At 41.2% G+C, this 20,805-nt stretch overlaps 2 annotated features.

The window, feature by feature from the left end:
- Positions 769-1,306: an enhancer, noted in NCBI's record as "OCT4-NANOG-H3K27ac hESC enhancer chr10:112400903-112401440 (GRCh37/hg19 assembly coordinates)". NCBI's record gives its function as "activates a minimal SCP1, AML or CMV promoter by ChIP-STARR-seq in naive H9 embryonic stem cells {active_cell/tissue: H9 hESC(naive)}" and the evidence as "EXISTENCE:reporter gene assay evidence [ECO:0000049][PMID:30033119]".
- Positions 4,787-5,338: an enhancer, noted in NCBI's record as "H3K27ac-H3K4me1 hESC enhancer chr10:112396871-112397422 (GRCh37/hg19 assembly coordinates)". NCBI's record gives its function as "activates a minimal SCP1, AML or CMV promoter by ChIP-STARR-seq in naive H9 embryonic stem cells {active_cell/tissue: H9 hESC(naive)}" and the evidence as "EXISTENCE:reporter gene assay evidence [ECO:0000049][PMID:30033119]".

The raw sequence follows: 20,805 nt of genomic DNA, 5'->3' as shown, positions 1-20,805 counted from the left end.
AGGAAATTACTTAAAATTAACATTGCAACTCTCCCAGAAATAAAAGTTTTTCTATGTTTGTACGGAAGTCTTTTTCTCAGAATCCTCCAAAACCTGGATGGAAAGAGCTTTGTGATCAAAAGGACCTGTTTTTGAGTCCAGACTCTGTAATTTACCAGTGGAGTAATTCAACCTCTCTGAGTGTCAGTTACCAAATATGTAAATCGGAATTGATGAGACCCTGGCTTGGAGAGTCTCTGTTAGGGTTAGAGATAATGTCTCTTGTATACTTTGTGCATAAGATGTTCAATCTGGCACTTACTACAAACATGACTCTTTATATTCCAACCATATAGCCAAATATTAATACAATAGATCTCAAACCCCAGAAAGCTGAGAGCCTGGAAGTCACAACATCGATATAAGTGAGTCTATTCCCATTACATTTTTATTGGCAAAAAAAAAAGAGGACCATGTTATATGAATGAAGCTGTCTGAATCTCAAAAATAATATCCTAGCATATGTGATAAAATAAGAAACAATGGATAAATCTAGATATTCATTGGGCTTTTTTTGCATCCTTTCTGTAAATTTGAAATTTTCAAAATTAAAAAAATGGGAAAAAATGAACGATTCACAGTTGTTTTTCAGAAATGCCATCTCCATGATTATAGCTTAATATTTGCAACCGACATGTTACATAATAACTGAACTTAGAACAGATTTGAAGGGAGAGGGCAAGACGACAGCAAAAACCTAGAGGTAGTTCATGACCTTCTTCAGATCCCACAAAATGTTTTCCAGGATGACATTGAACAAGCATTCCATTTTGCAAGTCAAACATAAAGTATATTCAAAAGTTGCAATGATAAATATTTCTAAATGTTTCTCACTTCTCTCCCGGAGGAATGAAAAAGCATAAAGAGCCATAGCTGAGGCTGCAGCCCTTGCTTTGATCTGCCCCTGGGCTCTCATCACTCCCCTCCCCCAAGCGTGCGCTTCACAGTGAGAGAAGCCAGACAAATGCTGTGTGAGTCACCTGACTTGACAAATGGGAGTGTGACTGAGAGGTGAGGACTGGTAACATCTCTCTTTGTTCCTCTCCACAGAAGCATCCTGTCCCTCCTTGACCTACAAGTGAACTACAGTCACGTGGTGAGGTTATTGCTGTTTGTGCATACGTTGAATATTTAACAAGCTGCTAAGTATTTTCATAGTTTATCTTACTTTATATTCACAATAACCCCATGAGTAGCAACTGTTAACTATGTTTCATAATTAAGAAAACTGAAGCTCAGATAGCTACAAGAATTTGCTCAAGGTCACCCAGCTCTTAAGAGCCAGAAAGAAGCAAGACTGCAGGTAGGTTGGTCTGTCCCCAAAGCTCACCCACTCTCTACACTATCTCAGTGACAGAAGTGGAACTGAGATCTTACCTGTCTTCTTTTGCTGTGATGCTGCTGTGAATATAAAATGCCACCTGCATTGTGATGCAACTCTGCTACTCATATCTTTTCACATCGGTCAATTAATAGGAAATATCTAAACTGACCCTTACAAATAAGAAAATTCAAAGAAATGATGCAACCTGGTGGGAGGTGGTAGAAAAGGGTGGAAATACAACCCAAGTCTCTATTATACTAGGGTCATTCTCAAACTTACTGGGGACTCTGGCACTCTGGCTTGTCCCATGATGTTAATAAATAATCCAGGCACTGGCTCTAGGAGTTTTCTCAAACCTTATTTCATTTAATATCACCATTTTGGAGAAACTCGAAGAACCTGCCCAAAGTCACTGGAATAATAAATAGCAGAGCTGAGATTCAGACCCTGCTCTGAATCACTGTGACCTTCTGTCCCCTCTTCAAAGGGGAAATATAATAGCTTACCTCTCAGTTGATTGTGAGCATTCATCTCTGCAGATGAGCTGATTTGTATGTGTGGCTGTTCAGCATATGTATACTATCACTGTTATTTTTTAACAACAGTTTACTTTGTAAAGTTTGATGACACAGACATTCTCATATACTATAGGTGTCAGTTGCAGCAACTCTTTGGAAGTGAATTGTAACTTTTTTTTTTTTTTTTTTGAGACAGAGTTTCGCTCTTGTTGCCCAGGCTGGAGTGCAATGGCGCTATCTCGGCTCACCGCAACCTCCACCTCCTGGGCTCAAGTGATTCTCCTGCCTCAGCCTCCCAAGTAGCTGGGATTACAGGCATGCGCCACCACACCCGGCTAATTTTGTACTTTTAGTAGAGACGGGGTTTCTCCATGTTGGTCAGGCTGGTGTTGAACTCCCGACCTCAGGTGATTCGCCCACCTCAGCCTCCCAAAGTGCTGGGATTACAGGCATGAGCCATGGTTCCTGGCCCAAATTGGAACTACTAAAATTGCAACAAGGGAAACTGACTCAGCAATTATCCTCCTAGGAATTTATACTCTCGGTTTATTTGTAGCAATAATCAAAGCTACATGGACAAGGGAGTTTATTGTGGCATTGTTCATAATAGCAAAAACTAGAAACAACCAAAGTGCTGCACAGAAGGGTGGCCTTACAAAAGATGGTCTCTACTACAAAAGAGTACAATGTAACCCTGAAAAAGAAGGAGGTAGGTCTGTATGCACTGCTAGGGAAAGAGACCCAAGGTGTATTATTAAGGAGAAGGTGCAAGTTTCTCAACAGTATTGCAGTATGACTAAATGTCTATAAAATCAAAGAGAAGAGAACATTTCTGGAAAAGTTATACAAGTAATTTTTAACAGTAAGTACCTCTGGAAATTAGGATACAAGGCCTTGTATGACCTTTTATATTGTTTGAATACTTGAAATAAACTTTTATTGAAGTACATATACTATTAGAGTTTTTGCTATGAACACATGTCATTGTTAAATTAACCAGTGACAACAAAACTTAAAATTTTGTTTTTTCAACTAGTAATCATTAACAACACTTAGTACATCAATAAGATTTTTGTTTATGTATTTATTTTTTGGGATGGAGTCTCACTCTGTCGTCCAGGCTGGAGTGCAGTGGCGCGATCTTGGCTCACTGCAACCTCCACCTCCTGGGTTTAAGCAATTCTCCTGCCTCAGCCTCCCAATTACAGGCAACTGCCACCACGCCCAGCTAATTTTTGTATTTTTAATAGAGGCGGGGTTTCACCATGTTGGCCAGGCTGGTCTCAAACTTCTGACCTCAAGTGATCTCCCTGCCTCAGACTCCCACAGTGCTGGAATTACAGGCATGAGCCACCGCATCCGGCCAAAATTTTTATTTTTAAAGCAAAAATTCATGTGAAGGAATGAAGGAGAAATACACTGGATAATATATTGTCCAGTCTTAAACACTGTCCTTTTATCCTAGCAACTCCAGTAGAGACAGTTAAATAAGTAAATCATTAAGTTGCTACCAGTCACATTGACACAGTTATAAGCTACTAATCTGACAATTATGAATACATATGAAGCAGTCTATCATAGATCATCTTAGCCATAAGATATTAACTGTTATCTGGGTGTTAATAATAACAGTTGCCATTTCTTGCTTTAGAGACAGAGTCTCACTCTGTTACCCAGGCTGTCATCCAGGGTGGAATGCAGTGGCACGATCATGGCTCACTGCAATCTTGAACTCCTGGGCTTAAGCGATCCTCCTGCCTCAGCCTCCCAAGGAGTAGCTGGGACTCCAGACATGTACCACTACGCCTGCCCAGCTAATTTTTATGTTTTCTAGAGACAGGGTTTTGCCATGTTGCCCAGGCTGGTCTCAAACTCCTGGCCTCAAGTAATCTCACCCCAGTCTCCCAAGGTGCTGGGAATACAGGGGAGCCACCACACCCAGCCAACGGTTCTGTTTCTTGAGTATTAATCTGCCAGGCTGTCTTGAGCACATATTTGTCATTTAGTCCTCACAGTCACCTTAGTAGGTGGTTGGTTTTTTTATACCCATTTTACAGATAAGGAAACAAAGGCTCATGAAGTCCAGCCACCTGGCCAGCTAGTAAGCAGAGGAGCTGCGGATCTAACCCTAGTTTCCATTACTCCTAGCATTGAGCTTTAAACTACTTTGTATGTTGTTTCTTGATATAATGGGGCTTTGAGACTGGACACTCCTCTGGTAAATCTCCAGCGTTTGAACCTCTTTGCTGTCTCCAATATCCCATCCCTTGGTTTCCCATCTCTCCACACTCCCCGGCTTCTCTTTTCTACCCCCCGAGGTAGAAATATTTACCTCAGCTTGACCTATTGGCTGGTGCCTCGACCAGAGTATGATTTTTGTTTGACTTTGAAGTCCATGGAATCTCTGCAGATGTTTGAAAACAATCAGAAAATAAAATCCTGTCCTGGCTTCACAAAGGGTCACCACTCCCTGAAAACCCAGGAGAGACAGTGGCTGAAGGATGCTGTTTAAAAATAATGTGGTTACTCATGGAACTGGATGCACATCTGAATTTGAAGGAGACAGTCAGGGAACTTTAGCTGAGGAAAAGTGAGGACATGACCCAGGAGGCTCTTTTCTGCCCGACCGACTCACTGGGAACTTCCGGCATTGGCTGCAGGGAAAGGCTTAGCCTCCATCCCTCTGGTCAGGAATTTATCAGCCAGGCCTCTTGTCCTCTAATAAGCCCTGCAGGTGTTGTATTGTAGTCAAAGTGCAGTTGGTTGGAAGTCAGGAAACCGTGGTTCTAGAGCTTTAGGTATACATCCAATGTCCTTGAACAGGAAAGCAGTTATCCCAACCACAAATGACATCAGCATCTTTGCCTCTCCTAAAAGCATCACTGCTCCGAGCCCCGGGTGGCTAGAGCTCTGTTCTGCCACCGCTTGTTCGGTACCTGGCGACAAATCAACAACTGCAGATTGCGTCCAGAATCACAGGGGCCCAGAGCAGCAAGGGGGAGGGTTAACCTGGGCATGGCTTCCTGGAAAAGAGGAGTTTTGAGCTATGCTTCCAAAGAGCCAGAGAATGACTTTCTCTCATTTGCTGTTTCCAGGACACATAATACAACAATCTTACTGTGTGTTATAAAGCAAGTTGCAGCTGAATTTTTTTGGAGGGGGGATGGGAAGTGATGGAGGTACGAAATGAATGTGGGAGAAATGTTAGAGGTAGCTAATTGCATGACTGAAGTTCCGTGGGGCTCTGCACCCCCTGTGGAGACCCAGCTTCCACAAGTCGTGCTTAATCCCTGGGGAATGTCACTGTCATTCAGAGGCCAGTGGTGTGACTGTAGGCCCCAGCCAAGGAAAACAGCACTTCTCAGAGGCAGGGGACTCCTTTATCCACCCTGTCCCCCAGTTGCCTTCTCTGTCTCTCTTATCACCCCGCCTGTCAAGCCAGTTGGGCATCAGAGAATAAACATCTCAGGCTGTTTGCCCACCAGCTCCAGGATCAGGTGACCATTATGGAAGGCAACACCGGAGGCCTCTGCATGCCAGAGTGACGCCAGGAACAGTGAGAGCCTGCAATGTGCTGACCTCACTGAGTGGGCACCCATGCAGCTGGCTGGGAGTAGACTAATGCCACTCCTGGTGTGGCCCCTTTGGTCATCCCAGGGCCACCCCATACAGAAGACCCTGCCCCGCTTCCTCTCAGCCCAGACTCTGGAGTCAGAATGACTCCTTTAGAAATCCAGCCCCAAGGTCTGCTAGTCACATGATGTTATGCAACTTACTCTACCTCCCTGAGCCTCAGTGTTCCCATCTGAGAAATGGGAATAATAGTGTCCACATCATGAGGTTACCGTGAGGATTATATGTAAAGCACTTAAGCCAGTGTCATCTGGCATATGACTGGGGCTCAGTAAATTGTCATTGGCTGTTTTTATTGTGATTACTGGACTGCCCATTGGGAACATTCAGTAATCATAACACACAGTCCCTTAAAAGAGCTTGCTCTGGGTCAGGAGGTCAGCCACCTTCGGCACATATAAATCCCAGGGGGAAAAGAACGTTTCCATTAGGAACGTTCAGTAATGATAATACACAGTCCCTTAAAAGAGCTTACTCTGGGTCAGGAGGTCAGTCACCTTCTGCACTTATAAATCCCAGGGGGAAAGATACCTGCCTCGGCCTCCCAAAGTGCTGGGATTACAGGCCTGAGCCACCCAGTCTGGCCAATAGTCCTCTATTTTTGTAACACCATGTTAATACTGGATGAGCAAGAATTATATTGGAAGTCTGTACTCCAAAGGGTGAGAACGTAAACCTCACAAAGATTCAGGGGCTTGCACATTAGTGGACTGGTAAGGACCCTGGTCCTAACCAGTCCACCTACCTCAGCCTCCCAAAATGCTGGGATTACAGGTGTGAGCCACCATGCCTGGCCCATTGTATATCTTTAAACTGTCCCTTTTGCCCATCTTTATATTGTTTTCTTAATGTCTTTTTCCCCTCGATTTTTAGAGCTCTTTATAAATTAGGGAGATTAGACCTTTGATAAAGATGGTGTATTATTTGTCTTTTCTTATTGTTTTACTTGTTTGTCTTTTCTTATTGTTTTTGCCATGCCAATGTTATTTTTATATAGTAAAATTTATCAATTGTTTCTTCTGTTGCACCTGCATTTTGAATCGGAATTAGAAAAAGCTTCTAAACACTGAGATTATTTTTTAAATTCTCATGTTTTTTGTAGCATCTGTATGGTTTAATTTTTTTACACTTAGATGTCTGATTCATTTGGAGTTCATTCTGGTGCACAGTGTGAGGCATGGATCCAATTTTATCTTCTCCAAATGGCCATCCAGTTGTCCCAACACCACTTATTGAAAGGGCTGGCTTTTCCTGCAAGATATAAGATACCATCTTTATCATACGCTAAATTTCCATATGTACTTATGTCTAATTCTGGACTTTCTATTTTTTTCCTAGTAGTCTTCCTGTTTACTTATTAGTTTTGATTAAAGATCCTTTATAATAATATTTGTTATTTGACAAGAACTCTTTCTTCTCACAGCTCTTCTTTTTGGGGGTTTTCATAACTCTTCTTGCATTTTTATTTTTCCGTATGAGCTCTGCAATCAATTTTCTAGAAAAAAAATGTGGTATTAAAAAAAAATAGCCAGATGTGGTGGCACATGCCTGTAATTCCAGCTACTCAGGAGGCAGAGGCACAAGAATCATTTGAACCTGGAAGGCAGAGGTTGCAGTGAGCCAAGATCGCACCACTGCACTCCAGCCCGGGCGACAGAGCGAGACTCAGTCTCTAAATAAATAAATACGTGGTATTTTTATTAGATCTTGTTAAAATTATATATTATCTTGAGGAGAATTAGACCTTTACGATGATGAGTTAGTCCCATCACAGAACAAGGGATGTCTTTTGCTTTGTTCAAGTCTACTTTTATGCCTTTAGGGAGTATCTTAAAGTTTTCCTCAGAGAAGTTTTGGTGGTTTTAGTGGTATCAAATAAAACACTTGACACTGCAGCAGATCAAAGCAAAAGCTTTGTTACAGAAAAAGTAATACTAGGAGGGAGGACAGAGCCAAGCAAATCATCACACTGACACCAGCTGCCAGACTCACAGCCCAGAGGGACAAGAGACGTGGAGCCAGACGGGCAACGAGCCAAGCCGGAAGTTGGCACCCACAGCACCTCCCCTGGAACTAAGCACCATCCTCATAGTACCTGGGCTTGTAAGACCCTCGGAATTCTAAAGTCGTTCTATGGGTGGTTATGTTGAGAGCCAAGTTTGTCTATTACATACCATGTTTTCTTATTCGTGACTATCTAACTCATTTATTCCATGCTTAGTGCCACGATATGGGATCAACAACTCCCTAAGGTATTATGTTGGAGTTCCCACACAATTCACACTTTTCTTCTTAGTTTGTTCCTAAATATTTTATGCTCTTTAGTTTGTATAATAAGTAAGGCTTTCTCTTTTATTATCTTCTCTAACTGGTTATTGTTTATATAAATATAAATGTATATTTGCCTATTTATATTTCTATATTATTTAATCTATACATAAAATAATGCATGCATACGCACAGAATTATTTTGCTTGTTTTAGTTTTATCATTACAACTTTTGAGTTTTCCAGATATTCTATCATGTTATCTACAAATAGAGTTTTACTTTTTTCCCTGTCAATTTGTATTCCTCTAATAGTTTTCTCTTGTCTAGTTGTATTGATTAATATCTCGATTGTGTTAAATAATAGTAGTGGATATATAGGCTTCTTTGCCTTTTTTCTGATCTCATGTGTTTATCTATTAAGATGCTGACTTTCCTAATATGTACATTTATTATATATGTTTACATCCTTATATATACATTTATTGTATTAAAATGAATTCTTACATTGGCATTGTGTGGAAAGTTAAAAAGACAAGGAAAAGGCCCGGCACGGTGGCTCATGCCTGTAATCCCAGCACTTTGGGAGGCCGAGGCGGGCAGATCACGAGGTCAGGAGTTCGAGACCAGCCTGGCCAACATGGTGAAACCCCGTCTTTACTAAAAATACAAAAATTAGCCAGGCATGGTGGGTGCCTGTAATCACAGCTACTAAGGAGGCTGAGGTAGGAGAATCACTTGAACCCAGGAGGCTAAATTTTGTATTTTTAGTAGAGATGGAGTTTTGCCATGTTGGCCAGGCTGGTCTCGAACTCCCGACCTCAGGTGATCCACCTGTCTCGGCCTCCCAAAGTGCTGGGATTACAGGCCTGAGCCACTGTGCCCAGCCAATTGTCCTCTATTTTTATAACACCGTATTAATACCGGATGAGCAAGAATTATATTGGAAGTCTGTACTCCAGAGGGTGAGAACTTAAACCTCATGAAGATTCAGGAGCTTGCACATTAGTGGATTTGTAAGGACCCAGTGGTCTAGGGTCTGTCATCCCCTCCAAAGTAAAAGGTAAATCTTTTGCAGTGGCCTTATCAACCTCTTTCCCCTTTCAAAATTCTACTTTCCCCTCTGAATAGCTGGTACGATGTGAGTGTCTTCTTATAAGTGTCTGATGTAAACTGGGTGAGGATCAGGATCAATCTATATGTGAAATATTAGCAAAACTTTGAAAAATTTTTGATGACATGGATAAAAGAAAACCAAAAGCTCTAATATTTTCTTCTTGTATTCCAGTGGATTGACTTTTGAGCCTCATATTTGGAAGTCAAATGAATAAATTATTACTTTTATTTTATTTTATTTTATTTATTTATTTTGAGGGGGAGTTTCACTCTGTCACCCAGGCTGGAGTGCAGTGATGTGACCTCGGCTCACTGCATCTTATACCATCCATCATCCAAAAGGAAACATAGAGATACTGCCTTGGTCCATCTATCAAGTGATAGGAAATGCTGTCAGCTTTCTTGGAATGAGGCACTGCCTGGGAAAGGATTCTGCAGAAAGTCCAGGCTGGGCATGAGTAACTCTGCTACCTGGACCATGTGACACAGAGGATCCTATAGCATGAGAGGCATTTATGGAAGGAAAGACATATTGAATCTATTACAAGCCCCAGTAGGGGGATCACAATGTAGACACCTAGAGCTCTGGAGCAAGTCATGACATGTGCAGCAGAAATTTACAGCATTTGGAAAATAGTTCCTAGTGGGTGACTTGGCCCTGGTAGAGACAGAGCCTCTGATCTTGCCAACCATGGAACATCAAGTGACTATGTGGCAAGAGCTGCTGCATTACATTTCTACTGTTGTGTAACAGATTATTGTAAATGTAAGGGCTTAAAAGAGCACACATTTATTTGTTCACAGTTATGCAGGTCAGAAATCCAGAATGGCTCAACTGGGTTCTCGGCTCAGGATGTTACAAGGCCAAAATCAAGATATTGGCCAGGCTGGGCTCTTATCTGGAGGCTCTAGGTGAGAATCTGATTCCAACTTCATTCAAGTTGTTGGCCAAGTTCAGTTTCTTGTGGTTGTAGGACTGGAGTCCTCATTTTCTAGTTGACTATCAACAGAAGGCCTCTCTCAGCTCTTAAGGCCACTACACTCCCTCTCAAGTGGCTCCACCATCTTCAAGCAAGCAACAATGCATCAAATTCCGCTTATACTTGAAAGAGACTTGAACCCACCACTAGAACCTTTAGAGTAAATCCAGCACACTCACTGTTCCTCACAATCTAAATGATATAACTCCTATGCTTAGAGAATTGGCTCCTTCTCTGTTTATTAGCAGGCTGTGCTTGAGCAAGTCAAGCTATCTAATCTCTCTGTTTTAGTTCCTGATCTAAAAAAATAAAGGTATAACACCTTATAGGGCTGTTGTGAACATCAGTGAAATAACACTTATAAAGTACCTGACACATGGAGATGCTCAGTTAATGAAAGCAGTCAAAACCAGCACCTCTACCACCACCACCACCACCATCATCATCATCATCATCATCATCAGAACAATGAAGACATGAACAATGCTGTTTTAGGCCTCTTTGGCCTAGAGAATGACAAGCCTTTGGTAAAATAACAATGGAAATGAAAATAGTTTGGGGCTCCAAATCCTAATGTATCTGAATTCCTGGGATCCCTGGAGACCCAAGTTCCATTAAAGCATCATGGGTGGTATGTGTTTGGTGGCCCTCTTAGTTTGTTTTTTGTTGCTTATAACAGAATACTGAAACTGGGGAATCTATAAAGAAAGAGAATTTATTTCTTACAATTATGGAGGCTGAGAAGTCCAAGGTCAAGGGGCTGCATCTGGCAAGGGCCTTCTTGCTGGTGAGGACTCTCTGCAGAGTCCCTAGGCAGTGCAGGACATCGCTTGGGAAGGGGGCTGAGTGTGCTAGCTCAGGTCTCTCTGCTTCTTCTTATAAAGCTACCAGTTCCACTCTCATGATAACCCATTAATTCATTAACCTGTTCATAAGGCCCAATCACCTCTTAAAGCCCTACCTCTCTAAATACTGCCACGTTTAGGATTAAACTTCAACATGAGTTTTGGAGGGGACAAACATTCAAACCATAGCACCCTCATTGGTTTTGCATATGGTAAATTAGTGGCCATTCAAATCATTCTACTTTTCTCGTCTTAATTGATAGCTGTTCTTCTGACATTGTTGGGATGAGGTAGGCTCCCTGCTTTGCACTCCCACAGCAACAAGAACTGCCCTCATCACCACCCTGTCTTCTAATTGCCTCTTGCTGGCTACATATTCCATGAGACTGTGAGTGCTCTCTGAAGGTGAGTGTTTTTGTCCTACTCACCATTGTATTCCCTGGATATAACACAGCATATGATAGCATAGCAAGTGCTAATTAAATACTTGTTCAATACATGAATGAATGAATGTCTCCCAGCTCTTTTAATCATTATACCTAACAAGGCAGAAGGAATTAAGTGAATTAGGGGCATTATTAGTACATAGCAATTAAAAATGATAATTGTAACCATTATGTAGGAACTTAAGAAGACAATTATGTAAGAATGCCAAATGATAGAAAAGTTACTTAAACTCCTTTTGGCCACATCCAGAAAATGAGGCTAGCAGCATCTGTAATATTGGTTTGTTGTTATAATTAAATGAGAGAAAATAGGTAAAATATTTAGCATGGTGCCCAATATGAACATGTGTTTCATAAATGGCAGTCATTTTGTTGTTGTTTACAATAATAGTAGGTGAAAGAAAAAAACAGAATGAAAATAGTTATTTTAGAGCTTATAAAATGATAGCTCTATAATTCTACAACTTCAAAGTTTCTATAATTTCAAATTCTATTTCTATAAAAATAACTATCACAAATATTTCTATTTTGTCATTAAAGTCAAAGTGACCTGGGTTTATTACCAATTCTCTGAGCCCCGTTAATAAAGTAAAAATAAGTATTATATCGTACTTGCTTTATAGGTCTTCAGTCAATCAAATAAATTTCTAAATGTGAAAGTGACTTGAAAGTAGTCACCTACTTTTTTCCAGTTCTGTCCTGCCTTAGTTTTCCCCTCTGGTATCCTTGTGATGGGTGTACTGGCCACAAGGGAAATTCTGTACAAAAAGGGAGTCAGTAATTGGAGTGAAAATCAGTATGGGGTTGCCCATGACTTCAGAGAGTCAGAGTGGCCAGCCCTAGAGAGGATCTAGGGAGCAAGCCCAGGGAGTGGGTTCCCACAAAGAGAACCTGGAGATGACTGGGAAGTGGAGACAAATCTACCGCGCTGGATTCTTGGTTTGGAAGGAAGACAGGAAGACCCAGGAATGTAAAATATATATACCCAAGGAGAGCATCCTCATACCACCAGGGCTCAACTGAGGCATTTTTTTGTTCAAAACTAGCTCTAGCTTCCCACTTCCCATACCTAAGCCACCCACAGGCCCCAGCCTATTATTAGTATTGGCAGTTTGGTTCCGAATGACATGAGCCTTTCTTTGACTCTATCCCCAGGCTAAGAAAAACACAGGTCTTGGCTGGTTAAATTCTGCATCTACAGAGTCATAGCAACTGATCAGCACCACGAAGGTTATTCCTGCTGCTGGATGTGTTGCTTTCTGGCTCCAGAAATAGCACGCATTCCTTGCCTCTGTGTGTTCTACCCACTCCCTCTGAGAATACACAGACAGAAGTTGGATCAGGGACCACTCATGCTAAATGTAAACAGTTGGGTGTATTTGGAGTCCTTTTGTTTTAAAAGTCCAGCAGCTTCTTTTGCACCTGTTGGCACAGTGTCAACTTTCTCTGTTTCATTCATGCTGCATGGGAGAGTCAATCATAGCTTCAATTACAAAGTCAACAACATTTGGGAAACCCTGCCAGGAAATTTCACTTAATCCTCATAAAAACTCTACATAATACAAGATAGGCATTATGCACATTTTAGGAACAAGAGAACTGAATTTCAAAGAAGTTCAAAAACTTGAACAGGAGCACACGGCAGAGCCAGGATTCAAAACTAGAGCTTTGGCCTACTGAAAGCCTGAACCTTTCTACAACACCAGATTATAAACATAGAATGTTGGGACTTTAAAGATTGCTTTGTAAGTTTATACTTTGAAGAACTACTGCTGCTCCAAGCATGTAAGAATAATAGATGAAATATGGGGAAAAAAGGTAATCTTTGCTCAAAAGCACAATGAACATCTCCATGGACTACTGAAAATGAACCTGAAAAACAAGATTTTTAAGCAAATGAAAAAATCTAACCCTAAGAAAAAAGCCAACAAAATCAAACAACAGGAAGAAAAATTTAATACAGATAAAATTAAAATAATAAGATTATCTGACAGATACTTTAAAATATGTTTAAGTTGCTCAAACTAAGAAATAATATGTATATAAGAACAAAATAAAGGTGAAATAGGCAGAAAAAAAGGGAACAGGTGAGTAATGAAAAAGAACCAAGTAGGAATCTTGGCAAAAAAATAAATAAACAAAAAAGAGTATTCCACTTTTGGCCTCGATGGATTAACAGAGACCGGATTTACCCTCTTGCCAGAAACAACAAGAAAAACAGAAAAACATGACACAATGGTTTTCAAGACACTTGACATTAGGAAACAAAGAACATGATCCCTGAACAATGGGAGACAAACAAGGTGAGCCCTGTTACTGCTACAGTTTACTGCCTTGAGAAGAGTTCCAGGGCACAATCTGGGGGTAGGGGGTGGCGGGGGCGGGTAGGGGGGTGGTAGGGTGTAGGCAACTAAAGCCCAGTAGCGTTTCTGATTTGAGGCGACAGAGCTGAGAATCTAGCAAGACCAAGACGCAAGTGTTCGCAGGACAGAGTACCAGAGGGGAGAGAACTGCACAGAGACTGAAACCCAGAGATCTCCAGAGGGTCCCTCTCAAATATCCAGCAGAGTACTAATCAGTGCACGTGTGTGAGGTCAGGAGAAAAATCATCTGAAAGGATCTGAGAGAACAGTGTTCAGCACTCACACAGGACCGGCAATAATACCTGTTCCCACCAGAGAGAATGGAAAAACTCCAAATTCAATGGGTAGTGTATTCAAGAAGATCTTGCCTTAGGAAGATCTTCTGAGGAGTAATTAGCCTAAGACTGAGTACTTCTCTGAGTCTGCCTTAAAAATCATAAAAGCAAGATCTAAAAGCATCAAACTGTTTCCAAGTAATAGTTGGAACAAAGTTCAATAAAGTTCAAGATTTACAGGGATACAAAATATCCAGTACCTAATAGGGTAAAATTCACAATGTCTGGCTTCCAGTCAAAGATTACTAGGCATGCAAAGAGGCAGGAAAACACAATCCATCATGGGGATAATAATCAATTAAAACCAACCCAGAAATGGCACAGATGTTAGAATTAGTAGAGGGCATTAAAACCATGATTAAAACTGCATTCCATATGTTTAAAAAGTTAAGTAGAAACATGAAAGATATATAAAAAGATCCAAATAGAACTTGTAGTGATAAAAATTACAATGATTGAGGAAAATAATAGACATGAATGTAGTTTCATCAACTCTAACAAATGTACCACTCTAGTGAAGAATGTTCACCAGATAATGGGGGAGGCTATTCATGTGTTGGGACAGGGAGTATGTGGGAAATCTCTGTACTTTCCTCTCAATTTTGCTTTGAATCTAAAACGTCTCTAAAAACAACATCTTTAAAAAACATATTCTATATATAACATATTTTATACAGAGAAACAAAGAAAAAGATGACAGCAGGTTTCTTGATTTCTCTTCAGAAACAATGCAAGTGAGAAGACTTGGAGTAACATCTTTAAAGTATTGAAAAAAAGTTGTTGACCTATAATCCCACGTCTAGCAAAAATAACTTCCAAACGAAGATAAAATAAAGTCATTTTCAGACACAAAAGTTGAAATAATTTATCACCACCAGACCCATACTATAGGAGATGTTAAAGCAAGATCTTCTAAGGTCACTCAACCAATTAGGAGCACAGCCAGGATTTGAAAACAATAAAATTAACCACAGCAAACATTCAACAAACATTGGCTTATGGAATAACGAAGGACACTCACTTAACCTTCACAACACCCATATAAGGTATGCATGACTTGGCCTTACATTATAGATGAAGAAACTGAGGCCTGGGAAGGTGAAGAAACTTAGCTTAGGGCACACACATGCCAAGGTTCAAGTTCAGGCTTGTCTGAATTTGGAGGGTGTGATCTTTTCCTCGTATGCAAATCTCTTGGGGGCACCAGCAATAAGTGGACCAGAGGGTCCAGCCTCTCTCTGGGAGGGTCCTGGCATCTGGAGATCTCTGTCTGGGCAGCTAAGAGCCCAGATCCTTAGATGGTCAACCTGAATCCTCAGGCTGAGGGAGTCAGTGAAGGAGTAAGTGAAAAGTTGAGACCACTATCCAACAGGTCTGGGGCATGCAGGTGAGCCCAGGCCCCACAAGCTGGAACCATGAAGGAGCTCGTGAAAGTTACTCCCATCCCACAAGAGCAGCTCATCCCACTGGTCTCAGCTCTACCTCTCTAACACCCCCGAAAAAGGGAAGCCAACTCCAACAACACCTTGGTGTCCCTGGAGGTAGTGCTTCCTGCATTCCACATCCCACTGACAGATTGTTGGCTTCCTTTGATGACCCTAATAAAATGTACCAGTAATTATTTATTTTGTCTTAGGAGTGCAAAAGGCTTATTGGGGGAAAAAAAAGGAAACAAACAAAATAATAATTTGCTTTGCCTTAATTAAGAACTCCTGCTTGGAGGCAGTAAAGGAATGACCCTCCATGGCCTGATGATCAAACTCAGGGTAAAAGCTCTTGGCTCTCCACCCACTCCTAGTCTCCATGCCTCTGAACTCTCCATGACACCTTCTCTCTATTAGGTGCTGGACAAGACCTCCCTCACTGCCTTCTGAGGTTTGTTTTTACAACAGTAAGAGCTTCCATTTACTGAAAGCCCACCCTGGGCCAGGCCCCATACCAAGCAAATGACCTGCTCTCTCGCTGATTCCTCATGGCCACCCAGAAGAGTGCCATTATTGTGTCTACTCAGAGATTGGGTGGCTTTCCCAAAGTCACACAGCAAGTAAGTGGCAAAGACTCAAATTGCATGTACTTGCTTCTGAGCCACACTGCCTTAGTCAGCTGAGAGTGAGCCAGGAGACCCCCAAAAGTCAGACAAGGACCCTGCCTTGAGTCAGATATTCCTGGGATGAGACAGGAATTGAAAGTCAGAGTCAACTGCCTTCCCTCTGGGCCCTCTGGCACAGTGATTACCCTCATAAGTCTGGAGTCCAAAAGGCACGGGGTCAAATCCAGGCTGCTTCCAGGTTGCATGGCCTTGGGCAAGGTACTTAAGTTCTCCAACTCTCAGTTTTCCCATTTGTGAAATGAAATAACACCTATCGTACAGTTTAGACTCATAGGGCTGGAACTGAGTCAACTCAGGCAGCAGTGGTGTCAAGGGCGCCCTGTGAACAGGCCACAGCATAGCAGGCCTGAGCAGGAACTCTGGAGACTGACTTCTTGGGTTCAAATTCCATCTCTATCACTTATCAACTGTCTGACTTCAGGCTGGTAATGTGGCCTTTCCAAGCCTCGGTTTCTTCATTTACTAAAAAAAAAGAAAATGGGAAACTGCTTCTTCTCCTTCCCTCTCCTTTCCTTGCTGAACAATTCATGGGGGTGGGGACTGGGGAGGATAACACTGCAGTGACCCAGAGTGAGGGTGTTGGAGTCTGTGGAGGGTGAGGAGGCATCCATTTGGGAGGTGGCAAGTCATGGGAATCAGAATGGGAAGAGGACAAAGCAGTTGTCCCATGGAGGGGCAGCCCAGCACGAAAGGTAAGAGACCAAGTGGGGTGAGAAGGGAATCTGCTGGTGTGGGGAAGTGGTGGCCCAATATGGAGAGTCATAGAACGGGTGGGGCAAGGAGAACATTCATTGGGAGGGGCAGAGGCCCAGCCTAGCATGGGTGTCAGAGTCCAAGTGGAGTGAAGAGGGCGTCCACATGTGGGGAGGCTGAGTTCCCGAGCTGATGAGAGCATCTATGCGTAGGTGACAGGTGGCCTGGAATGGGGGATTTGGGGCCCAAGCGGAGAGGAGAGTGTTTGATGAGGGAAGGATTAGTGGAGGACATGGACATTGGTCACATACAGAGGGATTAATCAAAGAAGGCAACACATTCAGGATAATGAAACCAGAATTCTTGCCACTGGAGAAATGGGCTGCAAAGATGTAAAGGGAGAAAATGAGAATAAATTCTATGGTGTGAAACTGGAACTGGAAGTTTCAGTGTGAATTTATTTCTGTATGTATTTTATCTATATTTATTTCTTATATAGAGAATATAAATAAATCTAGAAGTAAATATGTATCATTTATGTGTACTTTTTTGAAGATTTTTGAAATAAGCACAAACTTACAGAAACTTTGGAAGTACAAGTAACTTCTTTTCTTCCATTTGAGAGTAAGAAGCTGACCTGATGCCTCATTATTCCTGAACACTTTACTGACTTTTTTTTTTATTTTGGAGGTTGGTGGGGTATGAGGACAGTGGGGGAGTATTAAGACAAAGCCTTTCTGTCACCCAGGCTGGAATACAGGGGCACAATCACAGCTCACTGCAGCCCCAAGCCCTGGGCTCAAGAGATCCTCCCACCTCAGTCTCCTGAGAAGCTGGCACCACAGATGTGCCCAACCATGCCCAGCTAATTTTTTTTTTTAGAGAGGCAAGGGTCTCCCTGTGTTGCCCAGGTTGGTCTCTAGTGTGTGATTTATCCTGCATAACCTCAATACAACCTTCAAAAGCAGGGATTTCACATAGTTGCATTACTCTCTTTTAATCCTCAGACAAAATTTTGCCAGTTGTCCCAATCATTTTCTTTATAGCAAAAGAATCCAGCTCCAAATCACATGGTGCATTTAGTTGTCACGTTTCTTCAGCTTCCTTAAATGCTGAAAGATGGAATAGTTCCTTGATCTTCCCTTGACTTTCATGATCTTGACAATTTTCAAGATAACAGGTCAGCCGGGCGTGGTGGCTCATGCCTGTAATCCCAACACTTTGGGAGGCTGAGGTGGGTGGATCACCTGAGGTCAGGAGTTCAAGACCAGCCTGGCCAACATGGTGAAACCCCATCTCTACTACAAATACAAAAAAAAAAAAAAAATTAGCCAGATCTGGTGGCGTGCACCCCAGCCACCCGGGTGTAATCTCAGCTATCTGGGAGGCTGAGGCAGGAGAATCACTTGAGCCAGGGAGGCAGAGGTTGCAGTGAGCTGAGATCATGCCACTGCACTCCAGCCTGGGCCACAGAGTGGGACTCCATCTCAAAAAAAAAAAAAAAGATAATAGTTCAGTTATTTTGTAGAATGTCCCTTAAGTTTCCTCCATACTTGGATTCAGGTTATGCATCCTTGGCAGGAGTATCACAGAAGTGATTTTTCTCATTGCATCTTATCAAGTGGTTCATGGTTTCAATTTGTCCTGTTAATAATGATGTTCATTTTGGTCTGTTGACTAAGATGGTGTCTGCTAGTCTTCTCCACTCCTTTGTAATTAGTAACTCCTTTGTAATCAGTAAGAATTCTGTGAAAAGCCATTAGGATGCTGCTGCATTTGTGCAAACTAGAGTCAGTGGTGGCTTTCACTGAGATAATGGCACAGCAGTGGAGAGGCAGGGGCATGTTTCATAAAATTCAGGAAATACAACCCACAGGCCTTGGTAGCTATTTGGATATGAGGAATGAGAGAAAGGGAGAAGCTAACAGTGGTGCTAACAGAGTTCCCATCTGGGCAGCTGGGTGTACAAGTGCACTTGGTAGGTGTGTAAATTAGCTCTACCATTGTGGAAAGTGGTGTGGTGATTCCTCAAAAAGCTGAAAACAGAACTACTATTCGATCCAGCAATCCCATTATTGGGTATACCCAAAGAAATATAAATCATTCCACCGTAAAGACACATTCACATGTATCTTCATTGCAGCACTATTCACAATAGCAAAGACATGGAATAGACCTAAATGCCCATCAGTGATAGACTGGATAAAGAAAATGTGGTATATATACACCATGGAATACTATGCTGCCATAAAAAAGAATGAGTTCATGTCCTTCACAGGAACACGGATAGAGCTGGAGGCCATCATCCTCTGCAAACTAATGCACGACAGAAAACCAAATACCACATGTTCTCACTTATAAGTGGGAGCTAAATGATGAGAACATGTGGACACAAAGATGAAAACAACAGACGCCAAGGTCTATTTAAGGACAGAGAGTAGGAGGAGGGAGAGGATCAGAAAAAAAATAACTGTTGGGTACTAAGCTTAGTACCTGGGTGATAAAATAATCTGTATAAGAAATCCCCGCTACACAAGTTTACCTATATAACAAACCTGCACATGTACCCCTGAACCTAAAATAAAAGTTAAAAAAAATAAAAATTGATATTCTGATTGTCAAATATAAATGGAAAGTTAAAAGAAAACTTAAAATAGCTAAAAACAATTTTGACAAAGGAAGAAATCCAGAGGACCTACACTACTAAATCTGAGAATTACCATTAAGTTACAGTCATCAAGACAGCTTAGTATCGATGGAATGACAGATATAGAGATCAATAGATGAGAATAGAGTGAGAAATAGGCCTATACATATAGGGTTAATTGATTTTCAGTGGTGCCAGGATAATTCAATGGGAGAAATACAATCTTTTTAACAAATGGTATTGAATCCAATGGATAGCTTCATGAAAAATAATTAAACCTTGGGCCGAGCGCAGTGGCTCATGCCTGTAATCCCAGCAATTTGGGAGGCCAAAGTGGGCAGATCTCTTGAAGTCAGGAGTTCAAGACCAGCCTGGCCAACATGGTGAAACCCTGAGTCCACTAAAAATACAAAACTTAGCCAGGTGTGGTGGCAGGCACCTGTAATTCCAGCTACTTGGGAGTCTGAGGCAGGAGAATCACTTGAACCTGAGAGGCAGAGATTGTGACACTGCACTCCAGACAGAGTGAGACTCCATCTCAATAAAATAAAATAAAATAAAATAAAATAAAATAAAATAAAATAAAATAAAATAAAATAAATTTTGACCCTCACTTCACACCATACACAAAAATTAACTGAAAATGAATCATAGACCTAAATGTAAATGCTGATTATAAAATTTCAAATAAAAAATAGAAAAAAAATCTTTGCACAAACTTTAAAGATTAATAAATTAGAGTTCATTAAAATTAGAACTTCTGCTCTTCAAAAGCCACCATTAAGAAAATGAAAAGGTAAGACACAAACTGGAAGAAAATGTTCATAGCACATATATCTAACAAATAGCTTGCATCCAGAATATAGGAGGAACTTTACAACTCTATATTAAGAATGCAAATCAGGAGACTTTTTATGATGAGCAAAAATTTAAAACATAAAAGAAGATAAGCAAATGGCCAAGAAGTACTTTTAAAAAGCTCAACATTGTTAGTTACCAGGGAAATGCAAAGTAAAACCATAATAAGAGCATCGTACACCCACCAAATGGCTCAAATTTAAAAGACTGGTGATATGAAATGTTGGTGAGGGTACAGAGGAACTGGAACTCTCATATACTGCTGGTGGGAAAATAATATGATGCAACCACTTGGAGAGCAGTTTAGCAGTTTCTAATAAAGTTCAAATATACTTACTATACAACCTATACAACCCAGAAATTGCTCACCTACTGAAATTAAATTCCTCCAGAAGAATTTAAAATATGATACATCTACACAAAGACCACTATACAAATGCTCTTAGCAGCTTTATTCATAATAGCCAAAAACTAGAAACAATCTAAATATTCATCAGTAGTATATGGATTTTAAAAATTGTGGTATGTTTATATGATGGAATATTACATAGCAATAAAAAGGAGTACAATAGCAACATATGAATTTCAAAAATGTGTGGAGCAACCGAAGCAAGATACAGAAGAGTATATAA

The sequence above is a fragment of the Homo sapiens genome, chromosome 10, assembly GCF_000001405.40.
Source record: "Homo sapiens chromosome 10, GRCh38.p14 Primary Assembly".
NCBI lineage: Eukaryota > Metazoa > Chordata > Mammalia > Primates > Hominidae > Homo > Homo sapiens.
This window is presented reverse-complemented; position numbering and strand designations above follow the sequence as displayed.